General features: G+C 52.5%; 2 protein-coding genes and 1 pseudogene across 20 annotated transcripts in view, besides 2 other annotated features; 2 read left to right on the top strand and 1 right to left on the bottom strand.

Moving 5' to 3' along the window:
* Positions 1–3,595: 3,595 nt before the first annotated feature.
* Positions 3,596–9,421, top strand: CCDC74B (coiled-coil domain containing 74B). Of its 17 annotated transcripts, none has more exons than XM_047446281.1 (9): positions 3,596–3,961; positions 4,234–4,368; positions 5,395–5,439; positions 6,525–6,575; positions 7,400–7,550; positions 8,337–8,529; positions 8,612–8,685; positions 8,761–8,817; positions 9,018–9,421. In XM_047446281.1, the coding sequence occupies exons 3-9, from the start codon at positions 5,415–5,417 to the stop codon at positions 9,151–9,153; spliced, it is 687 nt and encodes a 228-aa protein (XP_047302237.1). In that variant the 5' UTR covers positions 3,596–3,961; positions 4,234–4,368; positions 5,395–5,414; the 3' UTR covers positions 9,154–9,421. The 17 variants fall into 17 exon arrangements, 16 of the variants coding, with proteins under 16 accessions (XP_047302237.1, XP_047302234.1, XP_047302235.1 ...); XM_047446278.1 differs by having other exon boundaries at positions 6,327–6,575; XM_047446279.1 differs by having other exon boundaries at positions 3,596–4,087; positions 6,327–6,575.
* Positions 5,481–5,560: an enhancer, noted in NCBI's record as "active region_16521". NCBI's record gives its function as "activates an Ori minimal core promoter by ATAC-STARR-seq in GM12878 lymphoblastoid cells {active_cell/tissue: GM12878}" and the evidence as "EXISTENCE:reporter gene assay evidence [ECO:0000049][PMID:35858748]".
* MED15P9 (mediator complex subunit 15 pseudogene 9) lies at positions 9,295–19,085 on the bottom strand (annotated as a pseudogene). Its single transcript, NR_033903.1, has 6 exons — positions 18,910–19,085; positions 13,163–13,563; positions 11,884–12,016; positions 10,837–11,070; positions 10,545–10,632; positions 9,295–10,097 (listed from the first exon to the last, which is right to left on the bottom strand). The product of NR_033903.1 is annotated as a mediator complex subunit 15 pseudogene 9 (transcript).
* Positions 19,000–19,574: an enhancer, noted in NCBI's record as "H3K27ac hESC enhancer chr2:130886707-130887281 (GRCh37/hg19 assembly coordinates)". NCBI's record gives its function as "activates a minimal SCP1, AML or CMV promoter by ChIP-STARR-seq in naive and primed H9 embryonic stem cells {active_cell/tissue: H9 hESC(naive and primed)}" and the evidence as "EXISTENCE:reporter gene assay evidence [ECO:0000049][PMID:30033119]".
* POTEF (POTE ankyrin domain family member F) overlaps positions 19,486–20,326 on the top strand; it is a 55,688-nt gene continuing 54,847 nt past the window's right edge. For both annotated transcript variants that reach the window (NM_001099771.2, XM_047445721.1), the window contains exon 1: positions 19,486–19,636. The gene's annotated coding sequence lies outside the window, so the exon portion shown is untranslated. The remainder of the gene's footprint in view (positions 19,637–20,326) is intronic.

The raw sequence follows: 20,326 nt of genomic DNA, 5'->3' as shown, positions 1-20,326 counted from the left end.
TGCGTATGGTTTAAGGAGATGTGTATGGGTGCCAGGTTGACAAGGGGTGGACTTGTGATGGTTAATTCTATATGTCAGCTTGTCTGGGCCACCGGATGCACTCATATCTGGTTACACATTATTTCCTGGCAGGTCTGTAAGGGTGTTTTCAGAAGAAAGTGGCATTTAAATTGGTGGTGCAAGCAGCCATGCATGCATTTCTGGAGTAGCTTCCCTATAGCTTGCAGGAACCAGAGCGGGCAATAAGAGCCCCATCCTCCAAATACTGGGGATCTGTGCTCTGATTGATGATGGCTGCTGTTGATTGTGAAAATGCAGACAAAGAGGCAGGCAGCCACTGCTGCAATCTCCACTGCTATGTTTGCAACGTCCCTCCTCAACCCTCACTGCCTCCCTGGGTACACACCTTCCAGGAGGTTTTTATGGATCAGCACCTCCTCCTGCCTTCATTTTTCTTTTCTCCTTCTTGGGAACCAGATGTTTAGGACTAGGACATTCAAAAGCAACCATATACCAGGCACAGTGGCTCATACCTGTAATTTCAACACTTCTGGAGGCTGAGGGAGGAAGATTGCCTCAGCCCAGGGGTTTGAGACCAATCTGGGCAACATAGCAAGACAAAAAAAAAAAAAAAAATTAGCCAGGCGTGGTGTGTGCCTGTAATCCCAGTTACTAGGGAAGCTGAGGCAGGAGGATGGCTTGAGCCCAGGAGTTCCAGGCTGCAAGTGAGCTATAATCGCGCCACTGCACTCCTGCCTGGATGAATTTCTCTCCACTCAGGATATCCTCCCTCCCAGCAATAATATTGCTACCATTCATTCCAGCTATCCATAAACCATAATTACTAAATACATGTTGCCATAATTTTTTTGAACAACCTGTCATCTATTAAAAATAATAATAAAGATTATATTTTATTTTACTTTATTCCTTCTCTAATGCACTTCCCTTTTTTTAGATCCAAATTTCCTATATCTTTTTCCTTCTTTTTTTGAAACAGGGTCTCTCTGTGTTGCCCAAGCTGGAGTGCAGTGGTGCAATCACGGCTCGCTGCATCTCAGCCTTCTCAGTAGCTGGGACTGCAGGTGTGCACCACCATGCAGGCAAACTTTTTAGTTTTTTGTGGAGTCAGGGTCTGGCTATATTGCCCAGGCTGGTCTCTAACTCTTGGGCTCAAGAGATGCTCCTGCTTTGGCCTCTCAAAGTGCTGGGATTACAGGCATCAGCCATGCACCTGAGTTTTCATTTCTGTTGTGTTTTTGACTTCTTACATTTTCTTTTAGTTTTTTGAGATGGAGTCTCACTCTGTTGCTCGGGATGGAGTGCAGTGGCAGGATCTCAGCTTGCTGGAAACTTCACCTCCTGGGTTCAAGCAATTCTTTGGCCTCGGCCTCCTGAGTAGCTGGGATTACAGACATGCACCACCATGCCTGCCTTTCTTTTTTCTTTTTTTTTTTTTGAGATGGAGTCTTGTTCTGTCGCCCAGGCTGGAGTGCAGTGGCATGATCTTGGCTCACTGCAAGCTCCGCCTCCCGGGTTCACGCCATTCTTCTACCTCAGCTTCCCGAGTAGCTGGGACCACAGGCGCCCACCACCATGCCTGGCTAATTTTTTGTATTTTAGTAGAGATGGGGTTTTACCGTGTTAGCCAGGATGGTCTCGATCTCCTGACCTCATGATCCGCCCGCCTCGGCCTCCCAATAATTTTTGTATTTTTAGTAGAGATGGGTTTTCACCATGTTGCCCAGGCTGGTCTTGAACTCCTGACCTCAAGTGATTCACCCACCTCGGCCTCCCAAAGTGTTGGGATTAGCGGTGTAAGCCACTGTGCCTGGCCAACTTCTCACATTTTCTTTTCTTTTCTTCTTCTTTTTTTTTTTTTTGAGATGGAGTCTTACTCTGTTGCCCAGGCTTGAGGGCAGTGGCATGATCTCGGCTCACTGCAACCTCCACCTCCTGGATTCAAGCAATCCTCCCACCTTAGCTTCCCAAGTAGCTGGAATTACAGGTGCATGCCACCACACTAGCTAATTTTTGTATTTTTTAGTAGAGATGGGGTATCACCATGTTGGCCAGGCTGGTCTTGAGCTCCTGACCTCAAATGATCTGCCCAACTCAGCCTCCCAAAGTGCTGGGATTACAGACATGAGCCACCCTGCCTGGCCTTCACATTTTCTTTAGATTATTTCTTAGAACGTCTACCTCTCTGTTCCCATTATCAGTCTGTAATCTCATGTTGTCCACTTTTTCCATTAGAGCCCTTAGCATATTAATCATAGTCGTATTCCATTTCTTGGTCTGATAATTCCAACATCTCTGCCATATTTAAGTGTGGCTCTGATGCTTGCTGTGTCTTCGAACTGTGTTGTTTTTTATTATGCCTTGCAAGTTTTTGTTGAGGGCTGGTCATGCTCAACCAGTAAATGGACTTTCTGTGTGAAGTTTTATGTTGGTCTGGTTAGGGGTTGTGCCATGTGTGCTGTTTGTTAACTGGAGGTGTCAGAGGCTTAAACCTCCTCTAGTGTCTTAGTTTTTGTCTCCCTGTTGTCTTTACGGTTTCCTAGAGATTTCTCGAATAAGCTCTGAGATGAGCAGTTCTTTCACTTGTATCCCCTGTTATTATACAGGAGCCCCGCTGATGTGGCAGTAAGATGTGGGGAAGGAGAGCCAGAGCAGGCTGGGGTTAGCTATGTTCCCTTCCTCCAGGTTTGTTGGTGTCTGGCAAAATTATGATTGGCCTGGCTGTGATTTTTTTTTTTTTTGAGGGCAGGCCTTGTAAAAAAAAAAAAGACTTTTTATTTTTATTATTTTTAAATTTATTTATTTATTTATTATTTTTTTTTTTTTTGAGACAGAATCCCACCCTGTCGCCCAGGCTGGAGTGCAATGGCGCGATCTTGGCTCACTGCAACCTCCACCTCCTGGGTTCAAGTGATTCTCCTGCCTCAGCCTCCGGAGTAGCTGGGATTACAGGTGTGAACCACTGCGCCCGGCCTCTTATTTTTAGGCAGCATCTCACTCTGTCACTTAGGCTGGAGTTCAGTGGTGCCATCATAGCTCACTGCAGCCTCGACCTCCGGGGTTCCAGCAATCCTCCCACCTCAGCCTCCCGAGCAGTTGGGACTACAGGCGCAAGCCACCATGCCCGGGTTTTTTTTCTTTTAATTTTTATAGAGACAGGGGCTCACTTTCCATCCAGGCTGGAAAGGATGCCTTTTATTATTATTATTATTATTATTATTATTATTATTATTATTTTAGATAGAGTCTCTGTCGCCCAGGTTGGAGTGCAGCGGTGCGATCTCGGCTCACTGCAACCTCTGCCTCCCGGTTCAAGCTATTCTCCTGCCTTAGCCTCCGGAGTAGCTGGGATTACTGGCTCCCGCCACTACGCCCGGCTAAATTTTGTATTTTTAGTAGAGTCGGGGTTTCGCCATGTTGGTCAGGCTGGTCAGGAACTCCTGACCTCAAGTGATCCGTCCGCCTCGGCCTCCCAAAGTTCGGGGATTACAGGCGTGAGCCCCGGCGCCCAGCCCTGGATGCCTTGTAAATCACTACTCACCCAGGAAGAGCCAGCGACAGGCCCCGCCCCCGCCAAACGCCTGGCGCCCTCCGTCGCCCGGTTTCCATGGTGACGGGGCGCCAGGCTAGGGCGGCCTGGCCACTGAGCCGGGGTGCAGTGGCAGCGGGAGAGTACCTGGCGATGGCGATATGAGCGGTGCGGGGGTGGCGGCTGGGACGCGGCCCCCCAGCTCGCCGACCCCGGGCTCTCGGCGCCGGCGCCAGCGCCCCTCTGTGGGCGTCCAGTCCTTGAGGCCGCAGAGCCCGCAGCTCAGGCAGAGCGACCCGCAGAAACGGAACCTGGACCTGGAGAAGAGCCTACAGTTCCTGCAGCAGCAGCACTCGGAGATGCTGGCCAAGCTCCATGAGGAGATCGAGCATCTGAAGCGGGAAAACAAGGGTGAGCCGGCGCGGGGCCCTAGGCCGGCCCTGCCTCCCCAGGCACACTCAACACTGCCGCTCCCGCAGCACAGAAACACAGCCATCAACTCCAGCACACGCCTGGGCTCAGGGGGAACACAGGACGGTAAGCCCGCCCTGCCACGCTGAGCTGTCCCCTCCTCCCAGAGGGAGACCCGCGTGGCCCCCGGGCAGTGCCGAACCTGTCTGCCTGTCTCCTAGGGCAGCAGCATTTCAGATGCTGACTCCGCCAGTCCTCTCCTCTCCAAGCAGGGTCAGACACACCTCTGTTAAAAACTTTATAGAGGGGCCCGGGCGCGGCGGCTCACGCCTGTAATTCCAGCACTTTGGGAGACCGAGACGGGCGGATCGCGAGGTCAGGAGATCGAGACCATCCTGGCTAACACGGTGAAACCCCGTCTCTACTAAAAATACAAAAAGTTAGCTGGGTGTGGTGGTGGGCGTCTGTAGTCCCAGCTACTCGGGAGGCTGAGGCAGGAGAATGGCGTGAACCCGGGAGGCGGAGCTTGCAGTGAGCCGAGATCTTGCCACTGCACTCCAGCCTCGGTGACAGAGCGAGACTCCGTCTCAAAAAAAACAAAAACAAACAAACAAAAACTTTATGCAGGGAAACGTGCCCAAGTGCGAGTGCGCAGCTCAGTGAATTTCTTCCAGCTAAACACATCGGATCAGGAGCAGGCATTCCCCCGCCCCCCACCCCGTCCCCGCTTCGCCTGTGCCCATGCTGTCCTCCGGCGGGGCCTTCCCAACTGCACCCTTAGCTGCTCCTCACCCCCACGCCCCCCTTTCTCCCTCCCTCCTCCCCCACCCCTCCTGCCCCGAGCAGGAGGAGGGCCCGCCAGGATGTGGGATGTGGCTCCGCTCCTCGCTCTTGCTTCAGGAGGGCTCCAGCAAGGGCACCAGTGCCCGCGGCCTCCTCTCCCGCCCCGTTCCCTGCTGCTGCCTTACCTGAGTGCCGAGTATCCCATCACCAGGCGTCTGTTTTGTCAGGACCCCGCTTCCCCATGTCTTCTTGAGCCTCAGGACGCCCCGTTCCTCATATCTTCTTGAGCCTCCCCCCAGTCCCTGATGCCCACGGGATCATGACACCGCCATAGCCAGGGATTCCAGAGTTCACCTCTGTACCCCTAAAGCCCAGGTTCTGCCTGGCAGTGTGGACGCCCTCCAGTCATCTCAGATGGATGAGGCTGATATGCCAGGTGGGCTCTGCCTAGGGAACAGGCAGGGGCCACTCCTGGCCTGACACCCACGACAAAGGCATGGTGGAGAGCGGGATCCATGGGGCAGGGCCCAATCAGCCAGTGGGGGGGCAGGACTTTCGGGCTCAGCAGCCAGGAGAGGACAGGCCAGGCTTCTTCTCTCAGAATGGCTGTGGTTTCACAAGTGCTGAGGAGAGCGTGTGCTTGCTTTCAGATCTCCGTTACAAGCTCATAATGAATCAGACATCACAGAAGAAAGGTGAGAACTGGGCCCTTCAGTTCCTGATGGGATGCTCTTGCCACCCAGGGGAGCCCCTCCAGACTGTCCTTGCCCACCTGGCTGCACTGGCCCCTGTATGCCAACCCAGTGGGGACAGGTTCTGGGGGACCTGGACAGATGCCGCTACCTCTAGCCGTGGCTGGATGATGTTACGCAGCCAAGCACAGCACGTGCTGCTCTCAGGAAGCCCAGGGCCTGAGGTCATTGCAGTGGGGAGGTGGGCACAGGGTGCTCCCCAGACCTCCCTCCTCCAAGTAGAGCTGAAATGGGAAGGAACCCCTGGGACAGCCCCTGCCCTGCTAGATCTTTGCCTCAGATTGCTGCTGTGGCCAGGCCCAGGATCTCCAGCCCTATGGCTCTGAGTCCTGACATGCTGGGGGCCCAGGGGCTCTGGACACACTCCATCCAGGGATCCCTTCCTGCCATCTGGGCAGCAACCATGGGGACAAAGGGAGGAAGCAGAGTCCTGTTTCCTTGCCACTTGTCCAAGGCACTTCCCCATCCTGACAGCGGCCCCCACCCAGCCCAGGATTCTGGGTTGTGGTCTCGAGCTCACTTCCCGTTATCTTTGGGGCTGGGGCTGACATCAGGAGGACATCTGACTGGTGGATGGAGCCAGCCTGGGAACATCGTAGCTGGGGCAGTGCCTAGGGCTCTCCCTTCCCAGAGAGACATGGAGAATGGGGTTGAGGGAGGGCCCTTCCCTAGCCGCTGTGGCAACTCCAGTGAGCTGTTCTGGGCAAAGTGTGGCCCAAGTCGGCAGCCCCAGCCCTGCAGTGCTGGGGACGCTGACAGGACACGGGAAGAGGCCATGCTCTCCCTCGGGACCTGCTGTTCCATGTGTCCCAAGCCCTCCTGCTTTCCAGATGGCCCCTCAGGAAACCACCTTTCCAGGGCCTCTGCTCCCTTGGGCGCTCGCTGGGTCTGCATCAACGGAGTGTGGGTAGAGCCGGGAGGACCCAGCCCTGCCAGGCTGAAGGAGGGCTCCTCACGGACACACAGGCCAGGAGGCAAGCATGGGCGTCTTGCGGGCGGTAGCGCCGACACTGTGCGCTCTCCTGCAGACAGCCTCTCCACGTCAAGCTTCCAGTCTGTCAAGTCCATCTCTAATTCAGGTGAGCAGGCTGGCGTCCATGTGCTCACAGGGGTGAGTGCCCCACGGGGACCCCAGCCTGGGTGGCCTCTAGGGGTGCTGACCAGGTACCCTCTGCTGGGCCAAGCTCCAGGATTTGGGGATGAAGGTGCAGCTGAAAAGAGCCCTGCAAGCTGAAGCCACCGGGAGGGGATTAAGGGGGGGTGGGCAGGACCAGGGACCAGTCACAGGGCAGTAAGGCCTCACAGCAGGCACCCCAGGGTGGGGCAGCAAGCAGGCAGGAGGGGCCTCCCCGGGTGGCCGCCTAGGGAGGACGTACCCTGGCTGCCCAGCAGCAGCCCTGCTTGGCCGTGTCCCCGCCACAAGCAGGCAGGACACAGGAGGGATGGCACTGCCCACGGAGCCCTGGGCTCATGGCACCTTCTGCAGAGTGAACTGGGAGCAGAGAGCCTCTTTTCCCCACTCTGTGAGGCCGGGCATTTTCCTCAGCCCAGCCCTAACCCTCACCATTCCTGTGATGGGCCCAGGTGCTGGACGGGCCTTGTCCTTGCCGAGGAAACCCATGCAGGCTGGGTCCCAAGCCTCTCATGCAGTTTCATTTTACCCAAGATGGGGCCAGCTTCCACTATGTTGATTGTTCTAGAGTGTTCACAGGCACCACCCATGGGCTTCACCCTCAGAACCACATTGATTCCCCCCAGAACCCTCCAAGGCAGGCTTCCCTTTACAGAGGAGGAAACTGAGGCAGGGACAGGGGCTTCTTGGGTACACACAGCTGTTCCTGGAAAACTTGGGCGGTGACTGTTGGTGCCTGCAGTGACCGGCCTTGTAGGGTCTGACTTGCAGCCAACTCTCAAGGCAAGGCCAGGCCCCAGCCCGGCTCCTTCAACAAGCAAGATTCAAAAGCTGACGTCCCCCAGAAGGCGGACCTGGAAGAGGAGCCCCTACTTCACAACAGCAAGCTGGACAAGGTTCCTGGGGTACAAGGGCAGGCCAGGTAAGGCTTGGGTGTTCCTGGGGTGCAAGGGCAGGCCAGGTAAGTCTTGCCTGCACCCTAAGGGCCCCATGACTACATTTACTAGGCTCACGCCCTGCAGTCAGCCAACTGCTCTGCCCCTAGCTCCAGGGGCCTGTCTCCAGGGCTCATGATAGCAGATGACGGCCACGCTCTACCCATCGGTGGGCGCTGTCTTCCTCCCTTCCCCTGGGGGTCCTGCAGAGTACCTGTGCTGACCTGAGCCCACGAGGGGGGCCAGTAGCGGCCCCTAAACCACTTCCTCAGAGAAAAGTAAAGTAATATTCTGACCAAGAGAAGGCTTGCTGCCCCTGGCCACAGCCTGCCTTTGGAGGGCACTAGGCCAGCAGGTCAGAGTAGGAACAGGTTCTGGTGATCCCTGAGTTTGCGGGACTGCCCTGAGATGCTACAGAGCGCACACTTTCAGCAGCGCAACCAGCAGGACAGGCTCCTGCATCTGCACATCCCGAGACCAGGCCTGGAGCAAGATGCCCCACTGGGTGTGGGGTCACGATCAAGAGCAGCCTGGCAGCTAGCTGGTCACCCACTGAAGCCCATCTGACCCTTAGGGCACCTTCAGAGGGGAGAAAGGGACAGGCCCCAGTCCCAGAGACCCCCACCTGGTGCCCAGAGCACCCTGCTCAGTGGGAGAGGGGAACCAGGCCCTCTTCCCCACATTGGCCTGGGCGCTGCCTGGGGAGGTATGCTGGGTGGGTGGTTAGACGCACCTGGGCAGGTCACCTCTGGCTGCTGCAATGACTGTTTCAGAAAGGAGAAAGCAGAGGCCTCTAACGCAGGAGCTGCCTGTATGGGGAACAGCCAGCACCAGGGCAGGCAGATGGGGGCGGCGGCACACCCCCCAATGATCCTGCCCCTTCCCCTGCGAAAGCCCACCACACTTAGGCAGTGCGAAGTGCTCATCCGCGAGCTGTGGAATACCAACCTCCTGCAGACCCAAGAGGTGAGGCCCTGGGTGGTGGGGGTGGCCCTGGGCAGTCTGGCACCGCCACAGGCCCCACCACGCCCCTGCCCCTGCCTTTCAGCTGCAGCACCTCAAGTCCCTCCTGGAAGGGAGCCAGAGGCCCCAGGCAGTCCCGGAGGAAGCTAGCTTTCCCAGGTGAGTGCCTGGTGCACCCCTGCCCCATCCCTGGGGGCCTATCCACAGCTCACTGCTGACTCTTCCTTCACCCAGGGACCAAGAAGCCACGCATTTCCCCAAGGTCTCCACCAAGAGCCTCTCCAAGAAATGGTAAGTCCCACAGGCATGGGGACAGTGGGGCAGCCCTGCAGCCTGGGCCCCAGGGAGGGAGTGGGGAAGGGAGCGTGGCAGCGCAGAAGCGGAGCTCGCTGAGGCCTCTCTGTGCCCCCGTGAGGGCCATGCAGGCCGCACTCCCCACACACTCCACTCGCGAGGATGCTCACGGTGACAGTCCCTCTACCCGCCCCCAGCCTGCTTCTGAGCCCACCTGTGGCGGAGCGTGCCATCCTGCCCGCACTGAAGCAGACCCCGAAGAACAACTTTGCCGAGAGGCAGAAGAGGCTGCAGGCAATGCAGAAACGGCGCCTGCATCGCTCGGTGCTTTGAGCTACCCGCATCTGGTCAGTGCCAGGCCCACCAACCTGCAGCTGGAGATTGGCTCTCTATAGCATTTCCTGACACTTCCGCTACTTTTAGGCCTGGCTAAATTCCAAGATAGATAACACTCAAGATAGATAAAGTACTTGATCTCCAAACTGACAAACTGTTTATTTTCTAGCTGTTATTTTGCTATTTGGCATTTACATAAAAGCACACGATGAAGCAGGTATCGCCTTACCTGTTGAAACTGAAAATAAAGCTTGTTTATTTCCAAGTTGTGTGCCTGGCTCCTCACTGGCTATCAGGCGTCGCGTCCCTTCCCAGTCCCAGCCCTTGGCCTCTAGCCCAGGCCCCGCTGTCTGCAGGGACCTGCCTGGGCAGCCCAGTCTTGCGCATCCTGGGACCTGCCAGCGGCCCTGGGAGACAGGCATTGGCAGAGCCATGCACATCCTCCCTGGAAGCGGGAGGGCTTTTCTGGTCCCCTGGCTGGGCTGGAGCTGCGTTCCAAACACATGATCACTCTGTCTCTTGCCCACACTGCACACTCCTGGGGGCAAGAGGCTGTCCTCTGCTGCCCTGACACAGCACCGCAGACAGGGGGTCCAGCCAGGCTCGCCCTCCTCCTCGGAGGGCTGTCTCGAGTGCCGTGGCCATGCCCGCACCACCCCTTCCGCCACAGCACAGCCATGTCCATGTCGGGGGTGGGGTGGCCAGCTTAGTGCCCACCCTCAGCCAGCCACACAGTCTTCCCAGGCCCACGGCCCACTTCGTTGGCATTAATCTCAGCCTCTTCCTGCTTCAGGGAGCAGAACTTTGCCAGGAAGCTGGGGATGAACCAGGCCAAGGAATGGGACAGTGCGTCAGAAAGGACAGCCCAGGCCCGGGGGCTTACAGCATCCTAACAGGACAGCAGGCCCAGTTTCATGGAGTGGGGGACACAGTGACGAGTCCTGACAAACACAGGAATAACAAGATTATAACAATCACAGATGATGGGGTGGTATGCATTAAAAGGGGCGACTCTTGTCACCAAAGGGCTGCTGGCCGGTGCCCAGGGCAGTGGGCAACATAGGGAGGCACTCACTGCATGGCCCCACCCACCGCCAGGCCCGCACTCTCTGGGTGGCAGTGCGTAGTGTTCTGAGGACGCGGGTCCAGAGGGCCTGGCTCTTCATCCTTCACAATGGGGACACGGCCCTCACACGAGTGACACAGGGGTGCCGGCAGCAGGATCCCCCGTGCCCCTGCTCCCTGGGGGCCCCACAGTGCTCAGCAGGAATGCCGTGAGGGCTGAGGCCCAGCTGGTGGTGGGGAGCTGGCAGCAGCCATGGGCCAGCCCTCCCTCCGATAGGCAGCCTGTGCCCTGGACTTAGGGGCTTCTCTGGGGGGTGCCCCACCTGCCCAAAGCAGCACAGCCTGAACCCAAAACTGTGAGCAGAGAATCCGATGTGTGTTTGAAGGGTTTCCTATGTCCTCTGTGTTCTCCTATAGAAAGGAGCAGGGGTGTGTTGAGCACACACAAGATGCTCTAACAACACCCTGAGCGCACCCTCATGCCGCTGAGATGGACCTGGACCCTGGACAGGCCACGGCGAGCAGCCCGCTCCACCACGCCCATCTCAGTCTGTACAAGTGCGGGATTTCATTTGGCAGATCCCCAAGGCAGGAGAGAAAAGGAGGAAAGCTAACCTAACTCCAGGCTCTCCATGGACGCCAACACCTAGAAGTGTCTGACAGGAGGCATGCGTCCTTGGCCCCGATGAGGCTGCGGGCCATCCCTGCAGTCCTGGCTAAGCAGCCGAGGCAGGCCTTGTGGATGTTCCGGGCACAGGTGTTGAGCAAGGTGGTAACCGAGTGCTTTTCCAGGCTGTGGCTGCCTGGAGGTCACGCAGTGGTGCACCGACCTGAGGAAGGGGTTGGTGCCTGCAACAGAACAATGGGCATGAGCCTGAGGCAGCTGGTGCTGCACCCACGGCCTGCACACCCGGCAGTGCTCTGGGAAGTGGCAGCCCCAGGACTGGCTGAAGCACCAGGAGGAGCCCTGCACGCTGCCTGCCTGGCCATCGGGCTCTCCTCCCAGAGCCTCATTGTCAGTGAAGAACTGAATCTGAATGGGGTTTGGAGCCCAGGGCTTTGCCTCTGACAACCTTGGGGACCCAGCCCTGGATCTGCTGTGTGCCAGCTCTGGGCTCAGGGACACTGACTCCTGTCAACATGACCCTCTGGAGCCACATCGCCCAGATGGGGCCTTGTGTGCCCAAGCTACTGGTAGGACCTGTCAGCCCCGCTGAGCTCCCTGGTGGCCTCTGGGAAAAGCAGGGTCTGTCCTTGAGCCGTAGGCTTTCTCACCCCTCAGCCACTGAACACAGCCACCCTGGACAACTGACCTGACACAAGATGAAGGGGCAAAGGGACACAGAAGAAGAGCAGAGACCCCTCTCTCTCAGGTGACCACTGGAAAACCTGCGCCTGCCCGTGCAGGGGGAGTCAGAAGAGGGGAGGGAGGGGCCTGAGCTGGGAGGGGCTGGAGTGCACAGAGGCTGTCCCTGCAGCACTGGAAGCCTGGTGTTCCAGAATGACCCCTGCCTGCCCTGGGCCCCCAGACAGCTCCCTCTGGGTCTGCCCACTGTATAGCCACTGCCGGTCCATCCACAGTGGACTCTGGGTAGGGTAGTGGGTGGGCACATGGTGGCACACTTGGGAGGTCCTTGTCGTTTGCAACACACAAGGCTGTACCTGTGACCCAGACAAGCCCTGGCCTGCCCCGCCTCACAGCCCTGCTCCCGAACAGGACTCTTCACACCCAGGGAGGTTCTGGTGAGGCTTGCGGCAAAGCCTGGATGTCTCTCTCACTCTCGGATTTCCAAACCTGAAGCCAGAGTGACCTGCATCAATGGGTGCCCAGAGGTCCTGCGTGCCACCTCCCTAGGGCCCCAGGCAAGCAGAGCCGCATCTGTGTTGGGGAGGTGAGGGTGCGTGGGCTCCGGGGGTGGGGGCAGAGGCAATGGCCAGTCTGTCCTGGGCCCAGAAGACAGAGCAGACAACCTGCTGGCACGTGAACATAGGATGGGGTCTGGGCACTGTGCCCTCCAGCTTGGACAGCAGAGGCCTGGGGCTGCAGTTGGGGGTTGCTCTCTTGCGCCAGCCTGGCCCTCCTGGACACTCGCCCAGCTTGCAGATCAGGCGGACGGTGCCGTTGTTGCTGCAGTGAGAAGGGTCCAGGTTTATCATGCACTTGGGCTCCAACCTGGCCACCAGGCCCTGGAGCACACTGGGGATGCTCTGCTGCTCATCGTCCTCAAGCCTGTGCTTCTGGGTGCATACCACTGGGGCCTTGGGGAGGCACCATGGTGACCACACTGGGCACACATGGCCCAGGGCCAGGCAGCCACCCTCTGCGAAGCCCAGCCCAGCTGGATGTATGTGATGGGTGGGCTGTGGATGGCAATCATGGTTGGCATGAATATGCGGTACAGGGAATGGTTGAAGAGGGTGAGCGGATGTTGGCCAGGATGGCATCCAGGAGCAGCTGGCATAGGTACTGCTGTTTGGTCAGTGGCACCGGGGGCAGTGGGGCAGTGGGCTGGAGCAGGATGGGCATGGTCAGCAGCCCGGAACCCAAGGGTTCCCCATGTAGGGGGCTTTCCCACCCCAGGCCCGTCCTCACTCACAGCCAGATTCCCGAGGCCTCTCTCTCAGCCTCCACCCTTGTGCAGACAATGTTGGCTGATCCTGGGTATATTCCCTACCCCCACAGCTTTGTCCTCCCCAGAGTCCCTGCCCCCTCTGGGCCAGGTGGCAGAGGCACCGATGGGGGCCACAGACAGAGAGTGACTTCTCCCATGTTCCCACCCAGCACAGCAAACCTGGCCTGGAAGAGGCCTGGTGGGCAGGGTCTCAGGTCAGGCCCAGCCCCTACCCAGCCACCCTAACCTTGAAGGCCCCTCCCAGTGGTGCTCCCAGGAGCTCTTGGGGGAGCCCCAATTCCCCCAGGGATGCCCAGGATCCCACTCACCACTGCCATGTCATTCTTGAGTTTTCTTTTTTTTTTTTGAGATGGAGTCTCACTCTGTCGCCCAGGCTGGAGTCCAGTGGTGCCATCTCAGCTCACTGCAAGCTCCACCTCCCGGGTTCACGCCATTCTCCTACCTCAGCCTCCCAAGTAGCTGGGACTACAGGCGCCCGCCACCACGCCCGGCTCATTTCTTTTTTGTATTTTTAGTAGAGACGGGGTTTCACCATGTTAGCCAGGATGGTCTCGATCTCCTGACCTCATGATCTGCCCGCCTCAGCCTCCCATAATGCTATGATTACAGGCATGAGCCACCGCGCCAGGCCAATATTTTTAAATAAAAAATTACAAAGCTGTTTTTCTTAAAATGTTACAATAAAATTGTATCTGTGTATAAAATGTATCTATTTTATGTGTACGTGTGTGTGAGTGTGTGTGTGAGAGAGAGAGACAGAGAGAGACAGAGAGAGAGAGAGAGAGAGAGAGAGAGAGAGTGAGTTATGAATTAGGAAGCATATGTACCAAAACATTAGGAGTAGTTGAGTAATGAGATTATGAATGATTTTCACTTTCTTCTTTATACCTTATCAATCATCATCTCAAAATTTACAATCAGAATTCATTATAAGCTATTGTTTGTTTATTTATTTATTTATATTCGCAGTGGCGCGATCTCAACTCACTGTAACCTCAGCCTCCCAGGGTCAAGCAATCCTCCCACCTGAGTCTCCGGAGTAGCTGGGACAAATCAAAGTTAAGTTTTCTTCAGTTTAAAATAACTTGATATAATTATGTTGTTTAGCCTCATGGTAACCAGAAAACAAAAATCAATAATAGACACCCTAAAAATGAAAAGCAAGCAATTGAAACACACTACCAGAAAAAATTATCTCACTACAAATAAAGACAGGAAGGAAGGGAAGGAGGAAAGAAAAGAAAGAAAGAGAGAGATCAGAGAGAAGAGAAAGAGGAAGGAAGAGAGAAAGAACAAAAGAAAAAAGAGAGAATAGCAAAACAACCAGAAAACAAGTAAAAAATGGCAGTAGTATGTTTTTACCTGTTAATAATAACCTTGAATATAAATGAATTAAATTCTCCAATTAAGACAGAGTGGCTGAATGAATTAAAAGACAAGACCCAATTATATACTGCCTACAAGAAACTCAGTTCACCTATAGACATACATAGACTGAAAGTGAAGACATGATAAATAATATCGCACACCTGTGGAAACAAAAAAAGCAGGAGTAGCTCTACTTAGATTATATAGACTTTCAGTCAAAAAAAGAAAAAAATGAAGATAATTATATAATGAGAAAAAGTAAACAGCAGCATAACAATTATAAGTGTATATGCAACCAGCACTCAAGCAACTAAACACAGAAGCAAATATTAACAGACCTTAAAGGATAGACTGCAATACAATAACAGAATGCCTCAATGCTTCGCTATAATCAACACCCCACTATCGTCAATGGACAGATCATCCAGACAACAAAACATCATCAGTTAAACTGTACTCTATACCGAATAGACCTAACATTTGCACAGCTTTCCACTCCGCAACTGCATAATGCACATTCCACTGAATAGAATATGGATTATTATCCACAAAAGACTATGCATTAGGCCAAAAAACAAGTCACAACACATTTTTAAAAACTGAAATCATGGCCGGGCACGGTGGCTCATGCCTGTAATCCCAGGACTTTGGGAGGCCGAGGGGGGCGGATCACAAGGTCAGGAGACAGAGACCATCCTGGCTAACACAGTGAAACCCCATCTCTACTAAAAATACAAAAATTAGCTGGGCGTGGCGGCGTGCGCCTGTAGTCCTAGCTGCTGGGGAGGCTGAGGCAGTAGAATGCCGTGAACCCGGGAGGTGGAGCTTGCGTGAGCCAAGATCGCGCCACTGCACTCCAGCCTAGGCGACAGAGCGAGACTCCGTCTCAAAAAAAACAAAACAAAACAAAACTGAAATCATATCGAGTATCTTTTCTGACCACAGTGGAATAGTACTAGAAATCAATAACAGGAGGAAAAACTGTACAAATACATGGAAATTAAAATACATGCTCATGAACAACCAATAAATAAATGAAAAAATAAAAAGAAAATTAAAAATTTATTGAAAAAAGAAACACAACATAACAAATCCTGTGGGATGCAGCAAAAGCAGTTGTAAGAGGAAAAGGGCATAGCTATAAATGCCTACATCAGAGAAAATAGAAAGATCTCAAATAGCCAACCTGACAGTACACCTGAAGTAATGAGAAAAACGAGAAAAATAAAATACTAAAATTAGCACAAAAAATATCATAAAGATTAGAGAAGAAATTTTAAAAATAGAAACAAAAAATACAAAAAGTCAATGGAACAAAGAGCTGGATTTTTTAGAAAAAAATCAAAACTGACAAGCTTTAACTAGACTAAGGAAAAGAAAAACAAAACAAAATGATAGATGAAAAAGGAGACATTACAATGGATAACACAGAAATATGAAGGATTGTAAGAGATTACTAAAAACACCTATATAAAAACAAGTTGGAAAATCTAGGAGAAGTGATAAATTTCTGGACACATAACAAATTCCCAAGATAGAATGATAAACAAAAAACCGGAACAAGATCCATAATGAGTAATGTAATTAAAGCAGTAATAAAAAGTCTTCCATCAAACAAAAACACAAGAATCATGGCTTTATTGCTGAATTCTACCAAACGTTTTTTAAAGAGTTAATACGAATTTTACTCAAAATATTCCCCAAAAAATGAAGAGAAAGGAAGTCTTCGAAACTTGTTCTATGAGGACAGCATGACCCTGGTACATGGTACAAAAACCAGACCAGGAAACAACACAAAAAGAAAACCACAGGCATTTTAAATATCCCTGATGAACACAGATGCAAAAAAATTTTCAGCAAAATACTTGAAAATTGCACTTGACAACACAATAAAAAGATGATCTGCCATGATCAAGTGGGATTCATCCCAGGAATATGAGGATGATTCAATAAAACACAAATAAATGTGCGACATCACATTCAGCGAATCAAGAACAAAAACCATATAATCATTTCAGTAGATGCTGAAAAAAATAAAAATCAACATTCCTTCATGACAAAAACTGGACAACATGAGTACAGAAGGAACATATCTCAGCGCAATAAAGGCCATATATGACAAACCCACAGCTAACATCATAATCAATGGGGAAATGTTTAAACTCTTCCTCTAAGGCCTGGAACAAGTGTGGCTACTTTTACGCCACTTTTATTCATCATAGTACTGGAAGTCCTAAGTGGGGCAATTAGACAAGAGAATGCAATAAAAGGCATCCAAATTGGAAAAAAGGAAGTCAAACTGTTTGTTTGCAGGTGACATGATCATATATATACACAGAGAAAGAGAGAACCCTAAAGATTCCACAAAATCACCTACTAGAAATAATTTAGTCAAGTTGCAAGATACAATATCAACATATAAAAATCAGTAGCACGCCCATGCACCAATAGTGAAATACCTAAGAAAGAAATCAAGAAAGCTATTTCATTACCAAAAAAATTATATCTAGGGATAAACTTAACCAAAAAGACAAAAGATCCCACAATGGAAACTCTAAAACACAGATGAAAGCTATTAAAGCAGACACAAGTAAATGGAAAGATATCCCATGTCCATGCACTAGAAGAATATTGTTAAAATGTCTATATCACCCAATGTGATCTAGAGAGTCAATGCAATCCATGTTAAATTACAAAAGACATTCTTCATAGAAATAGAAAAAAAAAATCCTAAAATTCACATGGAAACGCAAAATACCTCAGATAGACAAAAGAATCTGGAATAAAAAGAAAAGCTGGAGGCATCACACCTGACTTCAAAACATACTACAAATCTGTAGTAAGCATGGTAATACCAAAACAGCATAATACTATCAAAAAAAGGGGCGGGGGAGAAACAGAAACGAAGGAATGACAGACATAGACAAGTGAAACAGAATAGAGAAATCAGAAATAAATTCACCCATTTATGGCGTACTCATTTTTAACAAAGGCACCAAGAACACACATTCGGGAAGGACAATCTCTTCAATAAACTGCTAGGATAACTCAACACCCACATGTACAGGAATACATCTAGGCCGTTATCTTACCATATACAAAAATCTACTCAAAATAAAGATTTAAATGTAGGACCTGAAACTATAAAACTACTAGAGAAGAAAACATAGGATAAATCCTTCATGAAACTGGTTAGGACAAGGAATTTTCAAATAGACATCAAAAGCACAAGCAACAAAAGCAAAGATGTAATTACATTAAACTTGTCAAAAGCACAAGCAACAAAAGCAAAGATGTAATTACATAAAACTTAAAAGCTTCTGCAAAGCACAGGAAGAAATCAGTAGAACGAAGAAACAACCCAGAGAATGGAAGAAAGTATTTGCAAACTATGCATCAGCCAAGGGGCTAATACACAAAATATATAAATAACTACTCAAAAGCAAAAATACAAATAATCTGATTAAAAAAAAATCTACCCCAAATCTTTGTCTCCCACCATTATTTTCCCACCTTCTTTTCCCGACCGCCTTTGGCCTCCTCCCCCTCGCCACCTGTTTTCTTCCTCCATCTACCCCAAAACTTTTTCCCCACCATTTTTCCCCACCGTCATTTCGCAAAGCCTTCTCTGCTCTCTCACTCACCACCCTTTTCCCCATCCACTTACCCACTTTCCCCACTGTTTTTCCCACCGTCTTTTCCCTTTCTCCCTGGCCACCTTCTTTTCCCCCATCCCACTCTCATCACCCTCTTTTGCTCCTTCATCTAAGCAAAAACATTTTCTCCCGTCTTTTCCCAAACCCTTCTCCTCACTCCTGCTGCTCACCACTTTTTCGCCCTTCATCTACCCGAAAACTGTTTTCCTCATCGTCTTTTCCCCCGCTCCTCCTTGCCACCCTCTTTCCCTTCTCTACCCAAAAACATTTCACCATAGTCTTTTCGCAAAGCCTTCTCCCCACTCCTGCTCACCTCCCCTTTTCCCCCTCCATCCACCCCCCAGAATATTCCCTACTGTCTTTTCACAGTCTTCCCCCCTTCCCACTCGTCCTCTTCTTTGCCCTATCCTGCTTGCCACTCTCTTTTTTGCCTTCCATCTACCCCAAACTATTTTCCCATTTTTTTCCCAACTCTCTTTCCCTGCTCCCTCTCGTCACCCTCTTTCCTCCTCCTCGTTACCCTCTTTCCCCCCACCATCTACCCAAACACTTTTTACCCACTGTCTTTTCTTTCTCCACCGTCTTTCTTTCCTGCCCACTATCTTTTTGCAAAACCTTGTCTTCCTCCCGCTGGCTACCCTTTTCCCTTCCCCCACCTGTTACCCTCTTTTCCCCCTCTATCTACCCAAAACCTTTTCTCCCCACTGTCTTTTCACAAAACCTTCTCTCCCTACTGCTCAACGCTGTTTCTCCCCCCCACCACCCTCTCTTTCCTCCTCCCTTGCCACCCTCTTTTCCTCCTCCATCTACCCATAAACATTTTACCCACCATCTTTCTGCAAAACCTTCCCTCCCTCCCGCTCCCCACCCCGTTTTTCTCCCTCCATCTACCCAAAAACTTTTTTTCCCACTATCTTTTCCCCACCGCCTTTTTGCAACGCGCTCTCCTGCTCACTATCCTCTTTTCCCTTTGGCACTAACCACCCTCTTTACCCCCTCCATCTATCCCAAAACTCTTTTCCTCCTCTTACCGCTTCCGCCGCACTGCCGTCTCGGTCGCGGTTACCACCAGTCGCAGCGAGGCGAGCCACGGTGTAGCGGCTCCAGCCTCCAGCGTACGGCTGGTGATTACCCATTCCTGGTCCTCTAAGCCGGGCACTGAGCAGCTCCACAGGAAAATACGGGAACGTGGAAGAGCCTGACTTCCCTTCAGCAGCAGTCATATACCGAGATTATATACAGGAGGATTCCTGACTGCATGTTCTGATTGGATGAGAAAAACCCTCCAGGGTTACTTGGATTGGACTTTATTATCATGTTCTGATTGGATGAGAGCCAGTCTTAAGACAACCAATCACAGCATGAAAATAAAGTCCAATCAGAGTAGGCCTAGAGGTTTTTCTCTCATCCAATCAGAACATGTAGTCTGGGAACCACATGTGCGTAACCTCAGTAGGTAAAGCATGCGGAGGTGGCGTCAGGTCATTTCAGGCTCTTAAGTGTGGGCGTTTGGTATCCGGCATGGCTGCTACCTGTTTCTGGCTGGAGCCTCGGACACTGGCTCACTGCAGTTGGTGGTGTCGACAGTGGTAGGAGGGCAACCAGTAGCGGGAGCTTCTCCTGCCAGGCAGGAAGACGAGTAGAAGGGAGCGGCATGCTGGAGGCTGGAGCCTGAGCCCCTGGGGCTCGCCTTGCTGTGTTTGGTGGTGACGTGGGACACTGCAGCTCGGCCAGAGTGGTAGAAATGTCCTGGTGTAGGTGAGTTATCCGGGGATGTACTGCCCGCCTGTGGGGGCAGGGGTTGGGTGTCCTATTGGGGCTCACTACCCGAGGCTGCACTGCCTGTGTCAGGGGGCTGGTTGGGGGCACTCTCCGAGGTTGCATTGCTGGCGGTGGAGGGGGGCGGTTTTGGCTGGCTGTCCGGGGCTACACTGCCCGTGGTGGCGGGGGTGATGGGGGGGAGGCAGGTTGTGTGCACTAACGTGTACTGCCGGTGGCGGGGGAGGGGTTAGGGGCACTATTTTCTGCTGCACTGCCCGGGGCAGGGAGTGGTTTTGGTGGTTATTTGGAGCTACAATGCTGGCAGCGGGGGGTGGTTTAGGAGTGTTGTCGGGTGCTGCACTGCCCTTACTCAGGGTGCGCTATCAGGAGCTGCGCTACCTGTGGTGGGGTGGGGGCGGCGATTTTGAGGCATTGTCTTGTGCAGCAACACCTGTGGCTGGGTCAGGTTGTGGGCACTATCGGGTGCTACACTGCCTGTGGAGGGGGTGGTTGGGGGGGGTATTGGGGTTACACTGCCTGCAACTGGCACAGGGTGTGGTGGGTGTGCTGTCCGGGGGCTACACTGCCGGCGGCAGGGGTCAGGTTAGGGTTGCTATGGGGGCTATACTGCCAGTGGTGTTGGTCGGCTGCAGAGGTGGTGGGGACAGCAACAGCCATGGTCTCCTT

The sequence above is a fragment of the Homo sapiens genome, chromosome 2 (genome assembly GCF_000001405.40).
Source record: "Homo sapiens chromosome 2, GRCh38.p14 Primary Assembly".
In the NCBI taxonomy this organism is placed as follows: domain Eukaryota; kingdom Metazoa; phylum Chordata; class Mammalia; order Primates; family Hominidae; genus Homo; species Homo sapiens.
Note: the sequence above shows the minus strand (reverse complement) of the source record. Positions and strands in the feature narration are given on the sequence as shown.

Bases quoted from the DNA above. Each gene is read 5' to 3' on its own strand.
- CCDC74B (XM_011512142.3), top strand. From the start codon at position 5,726: ATGGGAAGGAACCCCTGGGACAGCCCCTGCCCTGCTAGATCTTTGCCT. The intron at 7,551-8,336 runs GTAAGGCTTGGG...TGACTGTTTCAG, and splicing joins GGGGTACAAGGGCAGGCCAG to AAAGGAGAAAGCAGAGGCCT. The intron at 8,686-8,760 runs GTGAGTGCCTGG...TCCTTCACCCAG, and splicing joins GAGGAAGCTAGCTTTCCCAG to GGACCAAGAAGCCACGCATT.